We start from the raw sequence: 26,378 nt of genomic DNA, 5'->3' as shown, positions 1-26,378 counted from the left end.
GCAGAGGCATAGAAACCTTATATTTTCTTTCTAATCAGGGTTAACTCAGAGCTTAGACCTAAGAAAACCCAAAAGGCCTTGTATTCCAGCCCCTCCATTCACCACATAATGCTGACTCGCCAGAGCATTCCAAACAAAGCTGGCCCCTTCACACGCCCTTCCTTTCCTAGAAGTCTTTCTCCCTCTTTGCACGTATCTTTAGAAAGCTCTTCCTGGAATCTGTCATGCACTGAGAGGGGGAGGTGCTTTTTCATGTCTATGCCTTTGCTTTGTAAGTCTGCTATGCCCTTCCCCATCTTGTGCATCAGGGCAAACTCTTATTACTTCTTCAAATCCCAGCCCCAGGTCACTTCCTCCATGAAGCCTTCCTTGTGTTCCGCAGACTGAGTTGATTCCATTTCTCCCTTCCCCATCCCACATCACTACCACCACGGGTACTCCTGAGGGTAATACCCTGGCTGACTCATCTCTCCATCTCTACTGCCTGGTTCAGGGCTTGGCCAAGAGAGAAGGCATGAATGAATGAATGAATGAATGAGAAGGGAAGGAAGGAAGATCTCAGACCACTTTATACAGCAATAGCCCCTGTACCACCCTCTGCTATCTGACCCAGGTCCCTGATTTTTCTAAGCTCTTTTCTATTCCTGATCTTATTGGATCCTCATGGTGGCCCCAGTGTGGTTTAGGATAGGGACCCACACCCTGATTGGCAAATGAGGAAGCTGAGGTTCCAAGAGGAGAAGTGACTCTCATAAAGTTACCTCAGAACTCCTGTGGGAAACCCGGAACTGCCTCCTTCCTTCCTCTCTTTGTTTTCCTCAGCTCCTCCCACTGACTCATTTCCCTTAGGGCTACAAGAGCAGAGCTGAAATTCCTGGTGGGATATGAGGGATTTGGGAACCCTGGAAGTCGTTCCTGGGCAGTGAGGTGTGTGGATGAATACACGCAGGCTCCTCTGTGTGTGTGTGCGTGCTGGGGAGGCTTGGCACTGAGATGCCTCCTATGTCTCCCTCCCACCTCCTTCTCCTGAAAGGGGGATGGATGTCGTGTGTCCCTGCAGTGTCCAGGCAGGACTAGTCATATCAGCAGATATCGGGGGAGGGGTGGAGGCTGCAGTGAGCGGAGATCGCGCCACTGTACTCCAGCCTGTGTGACAGAACAAGACCCTGAGTTAAAAAAAAAAGAAAGAATATTATGTATTCTTGAAATTATATAGTAAGTATGATTGGAATGTTACATACCATTCTTATAGGGTATAAAGATAGTATAGTGTATTTCTATGATTACATTGTAATGCAAGAAATACACTAAAGTGTGTATTCGTTTGATTACATACATACTACTTTTTGTTACATGCTATATGATTCCAAGAATATTATATATTCTACATAATCTTAACATTATTTCAATATTATTATATTGATTATCAATAATATTATATACTATTAATATATAACTATATAATATTATAATATATATTTTATATATAATATATATTAATATATATTAATGTTAATATATTATATATTGTATATTATTATAATTATATTATATTATATATTATTAGAATCATATATTATATTATATTATATATTATTAGAATCATATAATATATAACATTTTGGGATTGGATATATTTCATAATTCCTTTGAAACCTTTACAAGTGTCAATAATGTGTTCCTTTATATTGCTATGCAGGATTTTATAGTATGGATATACTATGGTTTCTATACCTTTCACCTGTTGGAGAGCATCAGAGTTGTTTCCCCTTTTTGACTATTACAGATGATTATTATGAAGGTTTGTGTCCAGGTTTCGTGTGAATATGTCTTCATTTCTCTGGGATGAATGCCTAAGAGTGTGATTGCTGGGTTGTATGATGAGTGTATTGTTTAGTTTTATAACAAATTATAAGACTGTTTTCCAGAATGGCTGTGTCCTTTTGCATTCCCACCAGCTTTGCACAAGTGATCCACTTTCTCCACATTCTTGCCAGCATTTGGTGTTGTCACTATTTTTTATTTTAGCCGCTGTGGTAGGTATGTAGTGTTACATCATTGTGGTTTTAATTTGCATTTCACTGATGGCCAATTATGTGGAACATCTTTTAATGTGCTTATTTGCCTTTTGTATATTTTATTTGGTGAAATATCTGTTCATGTTTTTTTGCCCATATTCTGATTGAGATTTTGTTCTTTTTACTGCTGAGTTTTGAGAATTCTTTATACATACTACATATAGGTTCTTTGTTGGATGTGTGGTTTGCAACTATTTTAGCTCAACCTGTACTTTAATTTTTCATCTTTTTCACAGGTTCTTTTATAAAACAAACTTTTAAATTTTGATGAGGTCCAGTTTATCAATTTTTTTCATTTGTGGAGTCTGCTTTTGATCTGAAGTCTAAAAATCCCTTTGCCTAGTCCTTGATCTTAGAGATTTTCTCCTATGTTTTTTCCTAAAAATTGCAACATTTTGTTTTACATTTAGGTCTGTGATCCATTTTGAGTTAATTTTTATATAAGATGTGAGATAGGAATCAAAGATTTAAAAAAAAAAATTGCCTATGTGCAGCTTAATTTTTTTTTTTTTACCAGTTTCTTTTTTTTTTTTTTTCCAAGGCAGAAGAATTTTTCTTAGTACAGAACAAAATGAAAAGTCTCCCATGTCTACTTCTTTCTACACAGACACGGCAACCATCCGATTTCTCAATCTTTTCCCCACCTTTCCCCCCTTTCCACTCCACAGAACTGCCATTGTCATCATGGCCCGTTCTCAACGAGCTGTTGGGTACGCCTCCCAGACGGGGTGGTGGCTGGGCAGAGGGTCTCCTCACTTCCCAGTAGGGGCGGCCGGGCAGAGGCGCCCCTCACCTCCCAGACAGGGCGGCTGGCCGGGCGGGGGGCTGACCCCCCCACCTCCCTCCCGGACCGGGCGGCTGGCCTGGCGGGGGCTGACCCCCACCTCCCTCCCGGACGGGGTGGCTGCCGGGTGGAGACGCTCCTCACTTCCCAGATGGGGTGGCTGCCGGGCAGAGGGGCTCCTCACTTCTCAGATGGGGCAGCTGCCGGGCGGAGGAGCTCCTCACTTCTCAGACGGGGCGGTTGCCAGGCGGAGGGACTCCTCACTTCTCAGACGGGGCGGCTGGGCAGAGACGCTCCTCACCTCCCAGATGGGGTCGCGGCCGGGCAGAGGCGCTCCTCACATCCCAGACGGGGCAGTGGGGCAGAGGCGCTCCCCACATCTCAGACGATGGGCGGCCAGGCAGAGACGCTCCTCACTTCCTAGATGGGATGGCGGCCGGGCAGAGACGCTCCTCACTTTCCAGACTGGGCAGCCAGGCAGAGGGGCTCCTCACGTCCTAGACGATGGGCAGCCAGGCAGAGACACTCCTCACTTCCCAGACGGGGTGGCGGCCGGGCAGAGGCTGCACTCTAGGCACTTTGGGAGGCCAAGGCAGGCGGCTGGGAGGTGGAGGTTGTAGTGAGCCGAGATCACGCCACTGCACTCCAGCCTGGGCACCATTGAGCACTGAGTGAACCAGACTCCATCTGCAATCCCGGCACCTCGGGAGGCCGAGGCTGGCGGATCACTCACGGTTAGGAGCTGGAGACCAGCCCAGCCAACACAGCGAAACCCCGTCTCCACCAAAAAAATACGAAAACCAGTCAGGTGTGGCGGCGCGCGCCTGCAATCGCAGGCACTCGGCAGGCTGAGGCAGGAGAATCAGGCAGGGAGGTTGCAGTGAGCCGAGATGGCAGCAGTACAGCAGTACAGTCCAGCTTCGGCTCGGCATCAGAGGGAGACCGTGGAGGGAGAGGGAGAGGGAGAGGGAGAGGCAGAGGGAGAGGGAGAGGGAGAGGGAGAGCTGTGCAGCTTAATTTTTTTTTTCTTTTTCTTCTTCTTTTTTTGAGATGAGTCTCACTGTATTGCCCAGGTTGGTCTCTGACTCCTAGGCTCAAGCAATCCTCCTGCCTCCACCTCCTGAAGTGCTGGGATTACAGGTGTGAGCCACCTCACCTGGCCATGCAGCTGAAATTTAATGGTTGCCAATATTCTGTCCTGAGACATAAGTTACTTAAACAGCCATGCTATTGATGAATCTTTAGAATGTCTTCAATATTTTTGCTATTATAAGTAGCAAAATAAGTATTATTGTAGCTAAATCTTTTACTTACCTATAATTGTTTCCTAAGAAGAGTATTACAGAAGTGAAATTACTGAGGCAATTTTTAGGGCATAGGGAACATATTGCCAAATTGCTCCTCAGCAAGGTTTGTGCCAATGCTGTGTCTCAAGCTGGGTATGAAACAGCCTGTTCTCCAAACTAGGGACCTCCTCCTAGATATAAAACAAAACAAAATCCTTAGTATTTAAATCTGTATTTCTTTGATTGCTAAGGGCCAGCATGAGGGCAGCCACAGGGGTATTTTGGGTCCCTGACGCTCCTCTGTTCTTCTGAGGCAGGAGGCAGAGAACCTAAGGCCGATCCACGCTGGACTTCCTAGAACTAAATCAAATGGAAACACTTCAGCTACGACAGGAAATATCCTCTTCATTTACATAGGGCATACACCAAGTAACCAATGGAAACCTCTAGAGTATATTTCAACCCAGAATACTCTGTAATGGGGCTCTTGAGCCCCTATGCTCGACGCCCCTATGGGGTATACTTTCATTTTCAATAAATCTCTGTGTTTGTTGCTTCATTCTTTCCTTGCTTTGTTTGTGTGTTTTGTCCAATTCTTTGTTCAAGACGCCAAGAACCTGGACACCTTTAACTGGTAACATATCTTAGTGAACCAGCCAGGAGGTAAGCCCAAAGTTTGGGATTTATTTTTCTCCTTTCCCCTTTCTTTTCTGCTCTATACAAGTGAGTCTCTCTCTTTCTCTCTCTCTCTCTCTCTCTCTCTCTCTCTCTCTCTCTCTCTTTTCCTTTCCAACTTGGGACACTTGGTGGGCAGCGCCTAAACACAGAGGCAACTGCAGGCTTCTGGCCAGGGCCACTCTGAAGGACAATTTTTTATCTTTTCCAGTTGTGGTCCCTGATCCCTACATTTGGTGCAGCTCGGGCAAACTCACATGAGTTTCAGGTGACTTAAACCTTCTTTTCTTATGCGAAATTCTTCCCTTCCCCTACTCCACTAGCTAAGGGCAGAGAAACCTGCCTAGCCTTCAGTTCCTATCTTTAAAGCTCATGGAACAGGAAACATGGGAAAGCTTGGCCTTATCAAATTATAAGGATGCTAGAAGTCGAGGCCTTCATCCTGGGACAAAAGGAAAGCTCACAGTGGGCCATCGCCTCTGGTGGGAAAACTTGCAACTGGCACCAGTGCCCACCTAAGGTCAGAGACATCTGACACTCTAAGATTGGACCCCAAAGGGGGACGCTCCGGGAGATCCTCCGGTCCTCAACCTCTCCAAAGGGGATGCCCTTGGCAGAAGTGCTGAGGCCCAGTGCTAGGCCCTCCTATGAATTTTCTCTCACAGTTGCAATACCATTTGGCCCCAATGTTGTTTGGAATCTGAAGTTTGCTGTTGATTGGGAAAGTGGGGTGGCGTTGCATGTGGCCAGGCTTTTGTGCTGCTGTTCTAAGCAGGGGGCCTGGTTAACCTGTGATGCTCTCCTTTGGTGCTGTTTGGCCCCAATATTCTTTGGAGTCTGGGGAGGTTTGGCTTTAAAAATCAAACTGCCAGGGAAACTTCTTTACCTGAAATTTTGGTTCACAGCCTTTGTTGGATTACCTACTGGGGCAAAGTAAAACCAGTGAGCTTGTATTGCTATCTCATGACTAGGATTCCAAGCTATTAGATCTTCATTCATGTGTGTGTATACATGTATAGATGTGTTTATTTGTATATAATTTATTGTTATATGTTGTGTCTACCAGATTGGCTTATAAGTAAAAGAGCGCTAATAAATTAAGCAAATAAGTCCAAGCAATTTTCAAGTTCACGTGACTTAAGTATAACTTTACAAAACAAGCTGGCTTTAAAATAATTGGTAAAATAAAAATAGAAATGCCTTCAGAATTGTCAGCATACATTTTTGTCTGGATTTTATATTTGTCTCTGCTAGATATTTTGAGATGTCAGGGTTTAGCATAGAAGGTTGTAAAACTATAAACCCAGCCTGTATATATAAACCCAGTTTGTACATATAAAACTATAAACAAAATGATCTTGGTTTGTGTACCTTTTTTTGACATATAAGAGTAATTTAATGTTAGCTAAATCTTTTGAGTTGTTGGCAAAAATACCTATGTATTTAACTTTGAGGTTCTTACTTAGGTTTAGCTGAGCATCTGATGTTCACTGGTGATTAAAAACATGGTTAACAAGGAAATAACTAACTTCAAATGATAGTGTCCAATATCTCAGTTTACAGAAGTAATCTAGATAAACTGTTTTAAAATGAAGGAATTGAGTGTATGTACATGGGATAAATGTTTTAAGTAAACTTTTTGCATAAATTAAAATCTTAAGATTATTTTTGATGATCATTGAATATATGAGTCATTTCCAATTGAGAAAGGGTTATGATATAGGGAAATATATTTCTAAAATTGTGGAATTGTTCTTGTCTATAAATGCCCATAGCTGATGGTTCAGGATTTCTTGCTTTTTAGGGTCTCACTAAAGTTTTAGGTTACTAAAAATAAGAATTCTAGTTAACACATAATTCTCTATACAAAATGTGCCAGAAAGGGTTATGTTATTAGTGAGAAAAGAATAACTTTGTCTAATTCAGAAGTTATCTAAAAGTTGGTTCAAATTACAGATTTGAAAAGGTTATTTATGAAACAATGTAGTAAAGAACTAGTAAGTAGGGGAGAAAGACATGGAAATGTTTGGATAATAAAATGTTCTTTAAAACCTGATACAGAATTGGAGACATTTGGCTAATTAACATTTTCATGGTTAAAGCTCATAGTCTTGATTAAAATAAAATGAATATTGTAAAGAAATGCATTGGCAGTTTGGCAATTCTTTTTTAAATATAGTTAAGCATGAAGCTGGATTTAGCGTGGAGCCAAATTTCACATCCATGCTTGCATTGCTTCACACAATGTTTACTGTTTTGCATGGATAGTGCTGACACTGGAGTACTTATTGGTCATGTGCCTACAGTGAATTTCTTGATTGCACAGGATGTATGATGATATTGGTGAACTTAAGGATATTGAATTGTGTATCAGGAATAAAATATTCATCATGTGGGTTTTGGGGGGCCCTGGGTAACACCATAGCCTCCAGGGTAGATTGAATAGGAAAAATTAAGGGTTGGTTTCCTGTTTATTTGTTTTTGCTTCTAATTTTCATTTGTTTGCTGTTTATTCCCCTCTGGGCTTTGCTTGTGTATGCATGTATATATAACACCATGAATTTTTTTAGTTTCTAGTGGAAGGGTTTTATTTGATTCTGTGGATAGTTATTTTGTTTCTTATGTGTTTCTAGCAAGTCATCATTGGTTCCATTTAGCTGAAATTCCTAGGCTACCTTTGTCAGGCTTTCAGGAATTAATGGAACACACCGGCTTTTTAATCTTAAACTAGCTTTTTGGAGTTAAGCTTCCTGATATGTTAAGTGTGTTGAGCATACTTTCATAAATAGAATTTGAGTCATATTTCTCTCTCTGCCTAATTTTTCCAAAATTTGTAAACTATTTGTGAATATTCTTAATTCACAGCAATGTGTTTGTCTGCATACAGTTAAGCAGGGCCACTAGGGCCACTCAGGGAGAAAGAACTCAGAAGCCTGACATGCCAGCAAAAAGGTAAGAATTTCTTACCAGTCAGACTCTGGTCTCTGTCTCTCTCTGCAAACTGGTTAAATAAATGGTAAAAGTCACTGTTTATCTCCTCTGCAAAGTTTTGATTAATACAGAAAAAGAATTCTGAGGCTGGTCTTAAACTGTAGTGAATCCGGAGTGCTTTATGTGACTTTCTATACTGTTCTGTTATAAAGAGGGGCACCTTAGGATAAAATGCATGCCTGGGAACCTATAGGCTCGCTATTCAAGGCTGCCCAGCAAACTGGTCAGTCATGTCCTTGGGAGCTTGACCTTGTAACCATGTGGCCATGCTTTCTCTTTTCACAATGGCGGCCCAGGTTTAGGTTTCAATTCCTGGCTTAGGGAATGAGTCCTTTATCTTCTGCCTGTCTGTGTATTTATATGTGTTGTGTGTGTAATGTAAAAGAGCTTTAATTGATTGGTTTAATAATAATAAGAGTGTTGTGGGAAGTCAGGGACCCTGAACGGAGGGACCAGCTGGAGCTGTGGCAGAGGAACATAAATTGTGAAGATTTCATGGACATGTATCACTTCCCTAATAATACTCTTATAATTTCTTACACTTGTCTTACTTTAATCTCTTAATCCTGTTATCTTCGTAAGCTGAGGATGTACATCACCTCAGGTCCACTGTGATGATTGCATTAACTGTACAAATTGATTGTAAAACATGTGTGTTTGAACAATATGAAATTAGTGCACCTTGAAAACGAACAGAATAACAGTGATTTTAGGAAACAAGGGAAGAAAACCATAACGTCTGACTGCCTGCGGGGTCGGGCAAAAAGAGCCATATTTTTCTTCTTGCAGAGAGTCCTATAAATGGACGTGCAAGTAGGTGAGATATCGCTAAATTCTTTTCCTAGCAAGGAAGATTGATACTAATACTCCAGGAAGAGAATTACATTCCTGGGGGGAGGTCTATAAACGGCCACTCTGGGAGTGTCTGTCTTATATGGTTGAGTAAGGACTGAAATATGCCTTGGTCTCCTGCAGTACCCTCAGGCTTATTAGGGTTGGGAAAAAACCCCACCCTGGTAAATTTGAGGTCAGACCAGTTCTCTGCTGTCAAACTCTGTTTTCTGTTGTTTAAGATGTTTATCAAGACAATACGTGCACAGCCGAACATAGACCCTTATCAGGAGTTCCTGATTTTGTCCTTGCTCTGTTTCCTCAGAAGCATGTGATCTTTGTTCTCCTTTGTGCCCTTTGAAGCATGTGATTTTTGTGACCTACTCCCTGTTCTTACACCCCCTCCCCTTTTGAAATCCCTAATAAAAACTTGCTGGTTTTGCGGCTCAGGTGGGCATCATGGTCCTACAGATATGTGATTCACCCCCAGCGGCCCAGCTGTAAAATTCCTCTCTTTGTACTCTTTCTCTTTATTTCTCAGACCAGCCAACACTTAGGGAAAATAGAAAGAACCTACATTGAAATACTGGGGGCGGGTTCCCCTGATATAAGAGCTTAAATATTTTGTCAGAAAAGTAGAAAGTGTAATGCCTTTTTAAAAATTTTATTTTATTTTTGAGATGGAGTCTCTCTCTGTCGCCAGGCTGGAGTGCAGTGGCATGATCCCGGTCACTGCAACCTCTCTCTGCCTCCCAGGTTCAAGTGATTCTCCTGTCTCAGCCTCTTGAGTAGCTGGGACTACAGGCATGAGCCACCACGCCTGGCTAATTTTGTATTTTTAGTAGAGATGAGCTTTCACCATATTGGTCAGGCTGGTCTTGAACTCCTGACCTCAGGTGATCCACCCTCCTCAGCCTCCCAAAGTGCTGGGATTACAGGCATAAGCCACAGCACCCGGCCATCCAATGCCTTTTATTTAGTTCATGTGACTTAAGTAATCTTTGGGAACAAAGACAGTTTTAAAGATTATTGGTAAAATAAAAATATCTTCAAAAATTGTAAACATTTGGCTTAAATTATGCAGGTCAGATACTAGGTTTGCTAAATACTTTAGGTCATAAACTGCTTCTTTGACTTTTAAAAATTGTTCAATTTATTTTGGAGCATTAGATTCTAGATAAGGCCTGGGGATGTGTGAAATTAGCCATGCCCCCTAGCTATGCAAAGAAGGTTATAAAGAAAAGATATTTTACATACGAAAGGATCTTATATGGTAAATTTTTGTCCTAAAGTAAAATAATTGGTTGTTTAAAAGAGGAATGTTTAGGACAAATCAGAAAGTCCAAGCATGTCATACATCGTCTGTGTATGTCATGAAAGAATTTATGAAAGAGAATTTATGCAAGAAATGTACTATTTAAAGGTGATTAGGCCACCTAAATGCTTCATAAAATGACACCATGACTCTTAATTGTACAACCTGCCTGCTTTACAGCTAGGTAAGACCTGGGACATGTGGAGTTAGACACTGGAAGAAGTCAGACTTTATTTGCACTTCTGTGTGGGTCCTAGGCTCCACACCTTGTACATAATTAAAATCCTAAACTTGGCCGGGCGCAGTGGCTGATGCCTGTAATCCCAGCACTTTGGGAGGCTGAGGCAGGTGGATCACGAGGTCAGGAGATTGAGACCATCCTGGCTAACATGATGAAACCTCGTCTCTACTAAAAATACAAAACATTAGCTGGGCGTCATGGCGGGTGCCTGTAGTCCCAGCTACTCAGGAGGCTGAGGCAGGAGAATGGCGTGAACCTGGCAGTCAGAGCCAAGATCATGCCACTGCATTCCAACCTGGGTGACAGAGCGAGACACTGTCCCAAAAAAAAAAAAAAAATCCTAAACTTACCAAGGTTTTCACTAAAAGTAAAGTTGCAAAGAGTTAACATTGTAACATGTAATCAAGACTACTGAAGAAACTGTTTTACATGCAAGGTGTGTAAGAAGAGTAAAATGTGTTATTGGTAAAAGATTATAAGAAGGCATGGGAATGTGGATTTTTTTTTTTTGCCAAGTGTTAAAGAATTGTTTTAAGTTAAGATAAATCTAAAGGTTTGAACAAGTTGTGGAAGGTTTTTAAAAAATAAATCTTATAAAAAATTCTGTGTGTGAAATATTAATATATGTTCCAAAATTGTATGGGATTTCCAAAATTCTAATATGTCTGAGTATATGCTATCAATCATAATTATGGTTATTATGTTAACTGATTGTAAACCACAGAAATAACTAAATTTCCTTGTATAAAGCTACTAATCCAAGTAGAACAAAAAATTAATTAAATACTAAGAAAATATTTTGTCAGATTTTCATGTTAAACCAGCTGATACTGAAATTGTTTAGATATACAATTTGAATGAACTCCATGGTCTAAGTCAAATTACTTATGATAACCCATCAGTTACCAGTGCTATTCAAATAATTTGAAGAAACAACTGGTATTCAAGAGGATATAAGTCTAATGTTAATTAAGCATGGACTCATGGAGAACCAGGATGACCACCTTGTCCTTCTTGAGTCCTTCAAGGTTTTATTATTAAAAGTTCTGCATTCCACAACTCATCATGGAAAAGATAAAATGATCCAAATTGAATATATTGGTGTGGTGACTTATACATTGCTAAAATAGTTTATAACCAATGTTTGGTCCCATATTTCTGGGAAAACAATCAAAGCTTCAGGTACATTTGGTCACCTGATGGGCCATTTAAACATTTTATAAAGGAATTTCTTTCAATTGTTATTTTCTTTTTTCTTTTTTTTTTTGGGGAGTCTCTCTCTGCCACCCAGACTGGAGTGCAGTGGCATGATCTCAGCTCACTGCAACCTCTGCCTCCCAGGCTCAAGGGATTCTCCTGCCTCAGCCTCCTGAGTAGCTGGGATTACAGGCACGTGCCACCACACCCAGCTAATTTTTGTATTTTTAGTAGAGATGGGGTTTCACCATGTTGGCCAGGCTGGTCTCGAACTCCTGGCCTCAAGTGACTGGCCCACCTCAGCCTCCCAAAGTGTAGGGATTACAGGCATGAGCCACTGCACCCTGCCTCAATTGTTATTTTCAATGCATGTTTTCTGGTTGTATAAAAGCTTTCCGATGCAAGAGGGCTGATGTTATAACAGTAGATTATTATGCTATGGTATATTTTCACCAGGTAAAGAAAGCTTTTTATGGTTTGGATCTTCTGAGAACATCAGAGAAAGACTGTCCTTGCCATCCACACTACAGCAAAATTTTGGGACCTTGAACTTTGGGTTTATAATCTCACAACTGAGAAGGGTCCCTCCACATTCTTGGAACTGTATATCCATTGGAATCCTTAAGGTAAAGCTAACTAGGGAAGTTTCTCCCCAGAATAAGATGGCATACTTGATGTGAACAGCTTTTCCCAGGATCATGAATCAAGACTTCTCAACTATCATGAGATCCTTATCTTTGAATATTTTTTTCCTTGCCTATGCCACTACGAATAATAGAAGTGGAAAAGGGGTCTGTTATGTGCACTTATGGGGTATACTTTTATTTGTGAAGGAGTTTGCAGCTAGTCTTATACATGGATAACCTTGTACTTTGATAGATAAAAGATGGAGGCCCAATGTAGGTGAGAAACCTTAATGGTACATACATTGCCTCACAATCAGTCAGAAACAGAACATTGGTTCACTCCTCTTAATGCACATCATAGGTTAAAGAGAACATTGTCAGGAGGCCTTCACTCTTCTAGAAGGGCATCATTAGTTAGGTCCTTTTCCATGGTTTGGAGTAAAATAAGCAATGATTAGAAATGTATCCCTCAAGATAGGCTCTATAGCAAATTCTACTGTAAAGGCTACAGTTACACAACAGACTTTAAGTTCTCTTGTGAAGGTTATGATCGAATTGGCTGAACAGAGAAGTATCTGTGAAGCTGCTGGCCCTCATGGCCTATGGAAAAAACATTGGGTATTATAGAGATTCAGTTGTAGCAGATTAACGAAGACCCTGCTTAGTTAAGTGAGTAGACTCTTTACGTAGCTCATTCTTTAATCTATTTAATTTTAGGAGGTTTGGTTTATGGGGACCCTGGGTAAGGAGCATACTCCAAACTCTTGGTATTATCCTCCCAATAGTCATGATAATAGTCTCCCTGGTGCACTGTATTCTCTCAGACATTTTAAATATTTGCATGCAGCCATCTCTAGAATGTCAGATGGTCTCTCTTCAACTGGAATGACAAGAGCTGAAAGAAATGTGTGACCATGAGGACACCATAACCTATGAATGATGTTCTGAGACTAGAAACCCAAAATGATGGTAACTGAGAGTGGTGCTAAGGCCGTAAGTTTTGGTCACGTTCTCACCTAGGTGAGAACGTGACCAAAAAGGGGTAATTTTTTTTAAACAAAATTATGGGAGGCCATTGTTTTGAACTGAGCTCATGCACTAGGCCCCAACAGACCAAACCAAACCAAAATGGAGTCGCTCATGTTAAGACTTTAAGGAAACACATAGATCCTAGAACAGATCACAGACCAGGTTTTGTTATTCTCCTGCAAATCTCTATAACAAACATTCCTGACAGCAAAGGTACCCAGCCCCTGAAGTTCCCATTAAATCTTTTAACCAAATTCATTTCCTCTTACTCAGAGACCATCAAGCTTCAGATGATCATGCAACATGGGTTCCAGCCAGTTCCAAGTGAAGAGACCACCCCCGGCCATCAAGGAACTATCCTCCCTCCACTAAACAGAGCAGGGCTAGCGTTCCATGATCCCCAATAGGTAGGGACTATGCCCTAAGCCAGCATAAAGTAGTTAAAGAAGAAAGACCATCCGTTCCTCTGCCTTCTATAAAGATTTATGGGGTCACATCTCTCAGGGGAGAAATAAGGCAGGAGAATATGGTCTGGAGGCAGGGAACCTAAGGCCAATTCATGCTGGACTTCCTAGAAGTGAATCAAATGGAAACACTTCAGCTATGACAGGGAATATCCTCTCCATTTACATAGGGCATACACCGAGTATCCAATGGAAACCTCTAGAGGGTATTTAGACCCCAGGAAATTCTGTAATGGGGCTCTTCAACCCCTATGCTTGGGCCACTCCCACCCTGTGTGGTGTGTACTTTTGTTTTCAATAAATCTCTGCTTTTGTTGCTTCATTCTTTTTCTTTGCTTTGTGCGTTTTGTCCAATTCTCTGTTCAAGATGCCAAGAACCTGCACACCCTCTACCAGTAACACTCCTGCCTCCTGGCCTCCTTCCTGGTGTCTTCCCAGTGACCCACTCTCACCAGGCCAAGGAGCAGGGACAGGGTTCTCCTTTCCTCTCTGTCCTCATTTTTACAGGGAGCGGAGAGCGGACAGTGTTAACAATGCAACTTCCTCACTAGGTTTTTGTGAAGATCAAACATATCTGGGACATCCAGTTGCTTTGAAACATTACATGCCATTCAGGTAGACAGGAATTACTCATTTTATGATTGTTACTTTTAGTTTCTTTTCCTCCATAATTTCTGGCTACACTTTGAATTAAATTGTTTTATCAGCGCCCCCTGCTGAGTGCCAATGAAATAATGACCCAATCCTAACTTGGGATGGATTAGACCTAACATGTAGCGGGCAGAGAAAGCCAAAGGACTGACACTAGCATCGCACCAGTACTGACCAGTCAAAACCGACACGGCGTCATGTCCTGGGATGTGCTCCCTGAACCCCAGCCTCAGGGAGCGGAGGAAGGAACCCCTCAGTGTGCCAGGCCCTGTGACGGGGGCTCCAGCTGATTACCTTGGTAACTCTTTCAGCAGGCTCTGAGCTTGTTAGAAATGGGTTGTAAACAGTGTTCATGTCCCACGCTTCTGTGACGCAGCTTGAACATGGTAGGAATGATTGAATTCAAGGTACCCCAGCTCTCTGCCACCCCAATTTGAGGAGCAAAATACCTTCCCTGCTGACCTACCTTTATGCCTGGGTGCCTCCACATAATCAATTTTTTTGTTTGTTTTTGAGACAGAGTCTCGTTCTGTTGCCCAGGCTGGAGTGCAGTGGCGCGATCTCGGCTTACTGCAAGCTCCGCCTCCCGGGTTCATGCCATTCTCCTGCCTCAGCCTCCCGAGTAGCTGGGACTACAGGCATCCACCACCACACCCGGCTAATTTTTTGTATTTTTAGTAGAGATGGGGTTTCACCGTGTTAGCCAGGATGGTCTTGATCTCCTGACCTTGTGATCTGCCCGCCTCAGCCTCCCAAAGTGCTGGGATTACAGGCGTGAGCCACCGCGCCCGGCCAATTTTTTTTATTTTTATTTTTTATTTTTTGAGATGGAGTCTCCCTCTGTCGCCCAGGCTGGAGTGCAGTGGTGTGATCTCAGCTCACTGCAGCCTCTCTCTGCCTCCTGGGTTCAAGCAATTCTCCTGCCTCAGTCTCCCAAATAGCTGGGATTACAGGCTTGCTATTTTTTTTTGTATTTTTTGTTCTTTTAGTAGAGATGGGGTTTCACCATGTTGGCCAGGCTGCTCTTGAATTCCCGATCTCAAGTGATCCACTGGCCTCGGTCTCCTAAAGTGCTGGGATTACAGGCATGAGCCACAGCACCTGGATGCATAGTCAAATACTTTTAGTTAAAGCTCTGAGGTCCGTGTTAAAAAGCCAAGAACTCAGGAGGGGAATATGCCATGCTCTCATCTGACGTGAGCAGTGGCCACGTGATGTTCTTGGTCTTACCCTGTGCTGAGCGGGCTCTGTGGGGATAGGGAGGAGGCCTGGACAGGAAGGTCAGAGGACCCAGGATTTAAACTGGCTGGGTGACCATGAGTGGGTTACCCAAGGAGGGGAAGAATGCAGACTTGAGCTCTTGGGAGCTTTCTCTGATGAGCTTTTGGATCCCAGGGCAGCTGTCCTTGGCCAAGAGAACAACCAAACAGTTGAGACAAGTCTCTGGTCTGGGCTGAAGCCTGCGTCAAAGTTGTTGGACTAGCACTCTGGGATTCCATTTCTGATTCTGTATGTCTAATCTTTTGCTTCCCATTCTCTGCATTGAGCAGTCTGTTTGTGGGCTCTGGAATCGACAGACTCGTTTTTAAAATGTAGAATCTGTCACTTATCGGCTATGGGACCTTGGGCAAATTACTTAACCTCCCTGAGCTTCCATTTTCTCCTCTGTAAAACAGCTTTATATATAGCGAGAATGAATAAGTCAATACACACAAAGTGTACATCTCAGCGCCTGGCACCGAATAACCTGTCATTTCATCGGCAAGTTTTATTTTTATTTTAAAACAGACCCAAATTCCTACATTTCTTCCTATCTCCACTGCTACCATCAAGTCACTCTCATCTCCTTCCTGGTTTATGGCAAGGACTTCCTAATGGATCTCTCTGCTTCTGCTCTGGCACTCACAGCCAGGGCAATCTTTGTAAAGTGTCCCCAGAGCCTGTGTCACCTCTGTCTAAAGGCCTCTAATTGGCTTCCTGCTGTGACTGGAGTAAAATCCGCAGCACTGACAGTGGTCTATCCAGCCAGCCTCGCTGCCCTCAATTCTCCCATCAAGCCCCGGCCAGCCTCGCGTCCTTCCTGAGTGTGCCAAGCTCACTCACTCCTTGAGGTCTTTGCACCGAGATTTCCTCCCTTGGAAAAGGTTCCTCAGGTCCCCGCAGGGTTGGCTTCCTCCCTTCTTTTAAGTCTCAGCTCAAACGTGAGAGTAGCACCCAACCGCGTTACCTCTGCCGGCACCCCCGTCACCTCTACTGTGCTCCAATTTGCCCTCTTTGTAGCATTCACCATCTCCTCACTTACTTAGATGCCCAGGCACCCATTTACTGTTGGCCCTCCCCGTAGATGACCACCTCCATGACAGCAGGGACCAAGGTGGTCTGTGGTCATGGCTCTTTCCCCAGTACTTGTCTTTGGGTCTGGACACAGGAGACCCTCTAAACTATTTATTGAATTTTATTTTACTTTTTAAAAAATATTTATTTATTTATTTTAGAGACAGGGTCTCACTATGTTGTCCGGGCTGGTCTCGAACTCCTGGACTAAAGCAATTCTCCCATCTCAGCCTCCAGAAGTTCTGGGATTACAGGCATGAGCCACCAGGCCCGGCCTGCTGAATAAACATTATTTTTTAAATTCTATAAAACACCAGGTTGAAAGTTCTTTTATCGGAGGGGAAGATGTGAAAGTGGAGTCCTTGGTGGCTGCTGAAAACCGCTGCTCATCAGACTTCTGCGTCTGAGCTTGCCCTTCGCTTTCCTCTTGTGGGGACCCCTCTAACCCCCGGCCTGTGTATAGAGCGACAAGCCCGGCACAGGGCAGGGAGAAAGGGAGCAATGGGCGGGCGGAGAAAGGAACGGGAGTGTCTAAGGCAGCGCCCTCTGGTGGGCACAAACTCCGTGACAAGTTGGAGACCTGCAACACACTCCGCCCGCAACTCCATTCTTGCAAGTTTTCACCTAGTTTGCCCCTCTTGTCAGATGGGAACTCAAGCTCGTGCCCTGCCTATGCAGTCACTTTTCACCTTGTATTGCAGTCATTCGACTCTCCCATGGGATGGAAAGCCACTGGGGCCAGGGCTGGCTCTAGTCCATCTCTGGATGCCCCATGGCTAGGACTGTGGTGTCTCTGCCAAACACATGGCTTTCACGTGTATGTGGGGACAAATCCTGCACGCTGAGACCCAGGGGCCTACTCCCTGGGCTGCCCTAATCCTTTGAGTCACTCAGCATGCTGTTGGCTTTGTCTCAGAGTTTTATTATTCTTGTCATCTCTCACCCCATCCCCTAGAGAAAGGGCTTCCCACCAAATGACTTAGCCTCCTGCCAGGGCTAAGCAGGCTCCTCCGGCAGGTCTACCAATCAAGTTATTATACGCAACCTTTTTTTCTTCTTTCTTTTCTTCCTTCTCTCTCTCTCTGTCCTTCCTTCCTTCCTTCCTTCCTTCCTTCCTTCCTTCATTCCTTCCCTCCTTCCCTCCCTTCCTTCCCTCCTTCCCTCCCTTCCCTCTCCTTTCCTTCCTTCCTTCCCACTCCTTCCTTAATTTCTTTCTTTCTTTCTTTTTCTTTCTTTTTTTTCTCCTTTCAACTCAAATCACTCTGTGGAGAGCAGGAAGCAGACATAATTTGGGACAGGGCCTCTGAGTGTAAGTCCCAGGCCCTGCCACCTACTGTCTGGACATCGTTTTCCTTGACTGTGAAATGGGCTGATTCTAAGCCCTGCCCTGCTGTCCTCACAGGAAGGCTGCACAGAGCAAATGAGGTGTGGTATGAAATGGAAGATCCATGTCAACTTTAAAGTGTGGCCCAAACCTGATTATGCAGTAAGATCATCTGGATTTGCTTGTTTTGAAAAACTGAAAACTAAGACTCCCTACCCTCTCCCCACACACGGGGAAGTTTTAAAAGTATGTGACATTGAAGTCAAATTCTGGAACATTTGGGAAAAAATGAGATTTCTGGGCCTTTCTGATGTTTGGTGAAGGCTTGTGCTTTGAGCCACGCTGCAGGCAGCATGGAGCTGGCCCCAGCCTCTTCCGTCTTCACAGGGCATCACAGGCCCTCCTGGCTGAAGGAGCCTCAGAATCTCCTAGGCTGATTCGTCTTATGGCTGGGGAAGGGAGCAGGCTCAGAGAGGTGGGACTCACCTCTCCACAGGCAGTGGGGCTGCGGCGGGCTGAGTGAGGCGGGGCACAGACTTAATGGCCAGCAAGAGTTGGAGCAGAAGTGGGTCCCGGCCAAGGAGCTGGAGAGGCAGAGGTGGAGCCTCACAGGGGACTCCTACCCTAGCCCAGCTCCAGGCCTGTCTGTGCACATACCTGCTGCCTGTGAGGAGGGGAAAAAGAGAGAGCAGGGAATGGGGGTTTCCCTTGCAGAGGAACTGGAACAAATGCTGGAAGTCTCAAGAGCTGGTTTCTTGGTGGTTTCTTCCACAAGCTTGCTGTGAAGCCTTGGAAAGGCCACTTACTCTCTCTGGTCCTTCATTTCACCATCAGTAAAACGGATATAACAGACCCATTTATTAATCCTACAGATATGAATCGACAACCAACTATGTGCTGGGCACCAGCCTAGGTGATATGGACCCTGTGGGGAGCAAGGCAGGAACAGTTCCTGCCTCTGGGGATGAGTGGAAGCTGGAAAAATAAACACAAAGTAAATATGATGAGCATCACTCTGAAGGCAAGACCAGGTACTGGGCTGGCACAGAGGAGGAACGTCTAACTTTGCCTGTCGTAGGATGAGGGGAGGTGGTTAGGGAGGGCTTCCCAGAAGAGGTGGCATGGCAGCTGAGGTAGGAGGGATGAGTGGGAGCTAATCAGGCTGGTGGGTGCGAGGACAGGGAAGCATTCATTCCTCCCCCTCTCCTCCTCTATCCTTGAGGTCACCCTTCTTTAGAACATGTTAGCAAAGGATGTCTGTGTAGTCACTTCTGAGGTCTGTTTAGAATCCAGACTCACTCCCACATGCCCAGCATGCACCCATTCTGTCCCCTCCCCACCAGCCTCACGTGTCTGAGCAGGATGTCGAATGTTACCGGTGGGTGGGGCAAGTCCAGGAATGACAGTGTTTGTGTCTGTGTGTGGGGAGAGTATTTAAAGCTTGCACTAAGTATGACTTTGCCCACAGTCTGCGGGAAGCGCCCAAAAGCTACACCTTTCCCAGGGTCCTCTGGGAGTGCTGGTCTGTCCCCTCCACCTCCTCCCCTCTGAGCAGCTTCCACCTGCCCCCACACAGTGACTGGCCTCATTTAGCCTCAGTTCCCCTCTTGGGAGTCCCTTGGTCCGATGGAAACAGGACAGTGAGCCTGGCGTGGTGGCTCATGCCTGTAATCCCAGCACTTTGGGAGGCTGAAGCGGGTGGATCACCTGAGGTCAGGAGTTCGAGACCAGCCTGGCCAACATGGTGAAACCCCCATCTCTACTAAAAATACAGAAATAGCCGGGTGTGGTGGCGGGTGCCTGTAATCTCAGCTACTTGGGAGGCTGAAACAGGAGAATCGCTTGAACCCCGGAGGCAGAGGTAGCATTGAGCTGAAATCATGCCATTGCACTCCAGCCTGGGAAAGAAGAGCAAACTCTGTCTTTAAAAAAAAAAAAAAAATCCGGGCACAGTGGCTCACGCCTATAATCCCAGCACTTTGGGAGGCTGAGGCGGGTAGATCACAAGGTCAAGAGATCCAGACCATCCTGGCCAACATGGTGAAACCCCGTCTCTACTAAAAATACAAAAATTAGTTGGGCTTGGTGTCACGTTCCTGTAGTCCCAGCTACTCAGGAGGCTGAGGCAGAAGAATCACTTGAACCCAGGAGGCGGAGGTTGCAGTGAGCCCAGATCGTGCCACTGCTCTCCAGCCTGGTGCCAGAGCAAGACTCCATCTCAAAAAACAAGCAAACAACAACAACAAAAAACAAGACAGTGAGTTCAGGTCTTTATTCTTCCTGATCCCAGTGGCAGGTGGGGAGAAGGGACCCATGGAGAGTCCAGGAGGGAGAGGTGGGTTTGTCTGGGGACTGGGGAGGGGTCCGGGAGGAGAGTGCAAGGTTACCTGGAGGGGCCATGCCTGCTGGGTGGTCTTGAGACAAGAATGTAAGGAGATGCGCTCAGGGCAGCCCCTCATATGCTTTCAAACACCAGGCAGCGTGCTTCCTTCAACCGCCCCTCTCTGCCTGCTCCCCTCAGCTGGGTTGTTGTCAAGGAGGGTGGCTTTTTCATTTGGCATCTTTTCTGCACCTTCAGCTGCCCAAGTCCCAGGGCTTCATGGAGGTTAGCAAGTGGGGAGGAGTGGGGGAATGGGGCTGGGGGAGGCGGAGGCTGTGGCTTTGGTTGTTTCAGTCATCTACTGACATATAAGAAACCACTCCAAAGCACGATGGCTTAGAACAGCAACCATTTTATTTACTCATGATTCTGCAACCAGGGCTGGGATGCGCTGGTTGGTTCTGCTGGGTTTGTTGTGGTCACTCGTGGGCGTGAAGCTGGTGACACAGCTGGGGCCTGATGTCTGCTGGGATATTGGAAGGTTGAACTTTTCTTTCTCTTTGTAGTCTTAGAACTGGCACTGAACCACTTCTGCATTGCACTGATTAAAGTCACAGGCCAGCCCAGACTCAAGAGGAGTACAAATACAAGGGTGTAAATCCTCAGAGGCGTGGGTTCACTGGAGTCACGAATATAAAAGGATATCACATCAGTTGGTGGAGAAGGCAGCATATATGTGAATAAAAGGCCCTACCCTTCAACTACCTTCTCTATGGATCTCACGATCTTGCCTCTAGCATCATGGTCTTAACAACTGTTATATCAACACACTACCTTAAAAACATTTTTTAGGGTATAACACATTTTGAGAGCATGCTCAGGTACCCCTTGCACCCCATTAGTTAGAAAATACCCCACTCCCGCATCCAACCCAGACATCTCATCTCTATCCCCTGATCACACTCTTGGTATCATGAGTCCTTGCCTATCTAGGAGGGGCCTTGGACGACAATCATAGCTTACGCCAAAGGGAAATGTGGAACTGAAGGCAGAGACTGAGGCTATTAGGGAGAATAAGAAGAGTGGAAGGTTTTCTCTCCATCTCTCAAATCACAGCAGGTCAGTGACTGCCATCTGTGACTGCCAGGCCTGGGGAAACAGTGGCAAACCTGCCTCAGGAAAGGGGCATGAGGACATTTCCCAAGCACTGTGTCTTTAAGAGTGTTGGGCCAGAAGGCGGCTGTGTGGCTGGGTGGTGTTGAAATGTACTGGGGCACAGGGCAGGACGTCTTTTTAAACAAATTCCTAAGCATAACAGCTTCCATGATATCACCCCCTGGGAGCTGATGGCCACTAAAGAAACCCTGGTTGAGAATATTTTGAGCCACAGAAAACTTATAAGTTTGACTAAAAGAAGAATTTTCAAAATAAATAAATAATGTGACGTCTATGAACACTTATCATACACAGAGCACTGTTCTCAGGGTTTTAGGAGCATTAGCTTATTTTCAACAACTGCCCTGTGAGGTAGCTACTAGACCTCCATTTACACATGTGGAACTGAGGCTGAACGAGGGGCTGAGAGGCTCACCCCGGGACACCCAGCTGTGAGTGGCAGAGCCGGGCTTGAGCCCAGGCAACCTCCCTTTGGAGCCTGTGCCTTGGCTACTAGTTACACTGCCCTAAGGAGTCCCTGCCTCAGGCCTTCACCTGATTAGGGAACCTGGCTTTTTACAGCCAAAAGCAGGGCTCTTTGCCTTTCTTAACCTGAGGAGGAGGGCTGGCGCCTCCATTCATCACTTCACTTTGGAAAAGTTGCTGCTTCTGAGGCTCAGCTAGTAGAAAATTGTTCCTGAGTTGATACTTCTGGTATCAGACCAGTTTCTCTTTTTCTGTGTCTTCCTGTATCATGTATGTAATTATTTCTGTGTCTTCCTGTATTATGTATGTAATTATTTATGTGTTACATATACATATGTGCATATATTAAGAAACATGGCAGGGCACAGTGGCTTGCACATGTAATCTCAACGCTTTGGGAGGCTGAGGTGGGAGGATTTCTTGAGCTCAGGAGTTCAAGACCAGACCTTTTCTACTAAAAATTAAAAAATTAGCTGAGCATGGTGACGTATGCCTGTAGTCCCAGCTACTCAGGAGGCTGAGGCAAGAGGCTTGCTTGTGCATGGGAGATTGGCTACAGTGAGCTATGATCACGCCACTGCACTCCAGCCTGGGTGACAGAATAAGACCCTGAAAAAAGAAAGAGAGAGAGAGAGAGAGAAAGAGAGAGAGAGAGAGATAGAAAGAAAGAAAGAAAGGGAGGGAGGGAGGGAGGGAGGGAAGGGAGACAAAAAGAAACATGAATGTGTTTGTACCTCCAGTTCAGAACACTTTGACTATCTAATGGATATGCAAAAGAAAATAATAAATAGGTTTGGGAACTAAAGAATAAACACAGGGGGAATTTCCCTCCAAGCTCAACAAACACAATAATCCCTGTAGACAGAACCACTAGTACTTAAATAAATAAAGAGAAGAATAAACACAGGGCATGTGACTTAACTGGATAGACATTTGCTGTCGTTAGAAGCCGAGCTATGGACTGACATTGGGTATTGATGCACAGAGCAAGTATAATTGCAATTAGCTACCAGTGAACACTGGGCACTGATATACAGCAGACACTGCCTCCAACAGACATTTTCCCTTTGTGGATATTGGTCATTGGTGGAAGCTGTCATTCATATGATAAACATTATATATCAACCAACATTTGCACCCTGGTGAACGTTAGCCAACAAGGAACACTGAACATTGATGGGCAAGGTCCTATTAGCCTATGATGACCTCTGTTGTCATAGACAGTGCCCTTGGTGGAGATTAGGTATGAGTGGGCTTTAGCGCTGGTGGACTTTAAATTCTGTAAGCACATAAAGTGAGCAAGGGGCAGGCCTCTGCCCCCCCATATTCCTGGCAGTCCAGAGAAACAGCCCATGAGCTGGTTTGGTGGCAGCTGGGTGGTAGAATCCACCTCTTTAGCTGCCTTTTCCCTCTGAAAGCCTTTTGGCCATGGCAAGGTGGGGAAACCAGGGGGTTGTGTGATAACGACAGAGGGACATTCCTGCATTTGGAAGAGTCTAACTGGCTCCCTGAACTACAGAGGGATTGGATTACACACAAATCCACACCTACTCTCTTCTGCCATCCTGACCAACACTGTCTGGGTGTTTGCCCCTCCTCTAGAAATGAGATGATCAAATGGCAGCAGGGCTGGCTTCATGGGCAGTGAAACCATAGAAAGACCCTGTGCTTGGTTTAATGCTCTGTTCTTGTCATCTTGAAATCCTAATAACTTTGAACAAGGGGCCCCACATTTTCATTTTATACTGGGTCCCACAAATTACATAGGCCGTTCTGAAGCACAGAATCCTGGCCATGGACCATGGGAACTTACTCGTCTCTGGGCCTCAGATTCCCCATCCGTGAAAAGGGGCCAGGAGAGAAAGGACTTTGACTTTGACCTTTGGCTTTTTATACTCTAAGATCTAGAATCCACAGTCTGATCGGAGCTATGTAGAACTGCATAACTTCTGCAACTTATTTGAAAATAAAAAATAAATGGAATCCCAGTGCTTTTTGGTTTATCAGTGCACCTCTACCCTCTCTGATTCATGGGATTTACACAGCTGGCCCGGCCCCTGGGGTAGGACAAGGAAGAATGTGAGAATTGCCACCTGACAGATAAAGCCTGGCCTATGCTGGTTTCCTCATCTGTATGGTGACAAAAACACCTGGTGCAGTTGTGAGGAGATGATGGCATGTACACAAAGCATGAGGAACACATAGCCATAGCTGGCCGCTGCATTACTGTGAAAGGCATAAAGAGGCTGGTGACCCTGCTGACCCATGGTGGTGAGCTGGGCCACAGCTGACGGTGAGTACCTACTCCATGACCCTGTGGATTACCGGGTGTCGTTCTGTGATTCTACAGTCCCAGAACTTTACAAAATTCTTCAGTTCTGAGTGCGAGTTATAAAAAACAGACTCAGACTACATGGCTCTGTAATCTACTTCATAACTCCATGGTTGGATGAGGGCGGGAAAGAGCACTTAGAGGCTGCCATTTTGTGCCAGGCACCGTACTTGGTTCTCTACAAATGTTACTTCATTTCTTCTACACACAGTCCTGTGGAGGGAGATATTTTCCCTCCCTCCCTCCCTCCCTCCCTCCCTTCCTTCTTTCCTTCTTTCCTTCTTCCTTTTTTGCTCTTTCTTTCTTTTCTTCCTTTCTCTCTCCCTCCCTCCCTTCCTTCGTTCTTTTTTTTTTCCAGGGTCTAGCTCTGTCACTCAGGCTGGAGTGCAGTGGTAGAATCTCGGCTCACGGCAGCCTCAACCTCCCAGGCTCAGGGAGGTATTTTCTCTTTCTTTGTTTGTTTCTCTTTCTTTTTTGTCTTTCTTTTATTTTTATTTTTCTCTCTTTGCTTTTTTTTTTTTTTTTTTTAAACAGGGTCTAACTCTGTCATCCAACCTCCCAGGCTCAAGCTATCCTCCCACTTCAGCCTCCCAAGTAGCTGGGACTACAGGCGTCACCATGCCCGGTTAATTTTTAGATTTTTAAATTATGTTGCCCAGGCTGGTCTTAGTCTTGAATTCCTGAGCTCAAGCGATCCTCCTGCCTCAGCCTCCCAAAGTGCTGGGATTACAGGCAGGAGCCATCGTGCCCGGCCTTGAGGGAGATATTTTCATCCCTATTTTCCAGGCTCAGAGAAGTAAAGTGACCTGGCCAAAAATCACACAATTGGTTAGTGATGACCCCAAGATTTCAACCCTTTTCTGTGAATTCCAAAACGGATTCTTTGCACGAATTTTCCTGATTGTGTAAGATTCGAAGCCCTCGCCCTGGGCGCCAGGGTTCCTGGAGGGCGGAGTCCGGCAGGGCGAGGGTAGTCTGGTGGGCGGGAAGGGACTGGCCGCATAAAGCAAACAGCGCAGCCCACTTTGGCCTCCAGCCGCCCCGGTCCTGGCTCTTGGCCCCGCTGGGATCTGGGGTGTCTGGCCATGCGTGAGCACGAGGTGGCGCTGCGGGCCGGGAGCCTCCGCACGGGCAGGGAGGGGCCGCGCGGACTCCCGGGTCGGCGAGGCCCGCCGGGGCTTCCGCTCTCCTTATGGCTGGCAGGAGGCCAGGGCTGCGGGGTGCAGGGCAGGTTCCCCACGGGAAGGACGAGCCCGCCCAGCGTGATGGCATCCGCGCCCATGCTCTCACTGGGCCTTCACCCTGCCCCGTTTTGCAGAGGAGGAAGCTGCAGCTCGGGCGGAGGTGACCTGCTCCAGAACTGATTGCCGCAGAAGCCCCCTCCTTCCCTTCGCTGCCCTCCGCACGCTTTGGCCCTGTCTTTAAGGCCTTTTTGTTCCATGGCCCTCCCGCAAGGACTCCTTCCACAAGCGGGGACTTGGGAAGACCCGGACCCATTGGGTGAAAGTACCGTGATCCCTACCTCCATCTGAATCCTCTCCTGTCCCAGGAAATGTAGGGGAAGTGGAGAACAAACAGGAGGACTGTGGGGGCCCGGGGTCTCACCCTGACCTCCCTCTCCTCCACACCGCCCGGCGCCAAGCCTCAGCTCTTTCCTACCTTGACCGCTGGGTGCCAGCCTCGGACCCAGGGCCTCAAGCTGATACTTCTCCCTGGGGAGGCCTGATTACAAGATGGGCAAGCTCCCACCAGTGCATATGGCCTGAATGTTCTGGGCACAGAGTAGGGATCAGGAAAAACCTGTCATTGGTGATGATGGTAGACATTCCCTGTAGACTGGCCAGTTAGAAGGAAGAACTTGGTGACAGCAGAGCCACCCAGATGAGCTCCAAGTGTGATCTCTGTCAGTGGAAGTGTGCAAACAGGAGCTGGGGTACCATAGCAGCTGAAGCACCAAGGAAGAACAAAATACTGTTGCAGTTCAGAGGAGGGAGGTGGAAGGGGCCAAGGAAGCTTCTGCGGGCGGGCAAGAACTAGGTCTACTGGATAGGAAGGAGGTTGAGAGACAGGGGTGAGGGCAAGGGCAAGGTCCCACAGTAACGCCTGAGCAAGAGAACAGGTGTGCAAGGGCCTGCATGCTCATGGCTATGGCTGGAGCTGGGGTGGCAGGAACAGTGGGGTAGGGCCACGGGAGATGAGAGGTGAACAGGGTGCAGGAACTCCCTCCTTCACGTCACCTTACTCCCCAAATCCTGAGAT

The 26,378-nt window shown here is 45.6% G+C and overlaps 1 long non-coding RNA gene across 1 annotated transcript, besides 5 other annotated features; it reads left to right on the top strand.

The window, feature by feature from the left end:
• Positions 1-1,231: a transcriptional cis regulatory region, noted in NCBI's record as "candidate enhancer chr11.4478 targeted for multiplex CRISPR interference". NCBI's record gives its function as "positively regulates TSKU gene expression in K562 cells {active_cell/tissue: K562}" and the evidence as "EXISTENCE:mutant phenotype evidence [ECO:0000015][PMID:30612741]".
• Positions 4,737-11,938, top strand: LOC124902720 (uncharacterized). Its single transcript, XR_007062789.1, has 3 exons — positions 4,737-5,091; positions 7,689-7,775; positions 11,855-11,938. It is a non-coding gene; the product is annotated as an uncharacterized LOC124902720 (long non-coding RNA).
• Positions 14,084-14,173: an enhancer, noted in NCBI's record as "active region_5302". NCBI's record gives its function as "activates an Ori minimal core promoter by ATAC-STARR-seq in GM12878 lymphoblastoid cells {active_cell/tissue: GM12878}" and the evidence as "EXISTENCE:reporter gene assay evidence [ECO:0000049][PMID:35858748]".
• Positions 17,095-17,144: an enhancer, noted in NCBI's record as "active region_5301". NCBI's record gives its function as "activates an Ori minimal core promoter by ATAC-STARR-seq in GM12878 lymphoblastoid cells {active_cell/tissue: GM12878}" and the evidence as "EXISTENCE:reporter gene assay evidence [ECO:0000049][PMID:35858748]".
• Positions 17,225-17,274: an enhancer, noted in NCBI's record as "active region_5300". NCBI's record gives its function as "activates an Ori minimal core promoter by ATAC-STARR-seq in GM12878 lymphoblastoid cells {active_cell/tissue: GM12878}" and the evidence as "EXISTENCE:reporter gene assay evidence [ECO:0000049][PMID:35858748]".
• Positions 25,201-25,460: a silencer, noted in NCBI's record as "silent region_3790". NCBI's record gives its function as "represses an Ori minimal core promoter by ATAC-STARR-seq in GM12878 lymphoblastoid cells {active_cell/tissue: GM12878}" and the evidence as "EXISTENCE:reporter gene assay evidence [ECO:0000049][PMID:35858748]".

Source organism: Homo sapiens, chromosome 11, assembly GCF_000001405.40.
Source record: "Homo sapiens chromosome 11, GRCh38.p14 Primary Assembly".
NCBI lineage: Eukaryota > Metazoa > Chordata > Mammalia > Primates > Hominidae > Homo > Homo sapiens.
Note: the sequence above shows the minus strand (reverse complement) of the source record. Positions and strands in the feature narration are given on the sequence as shown.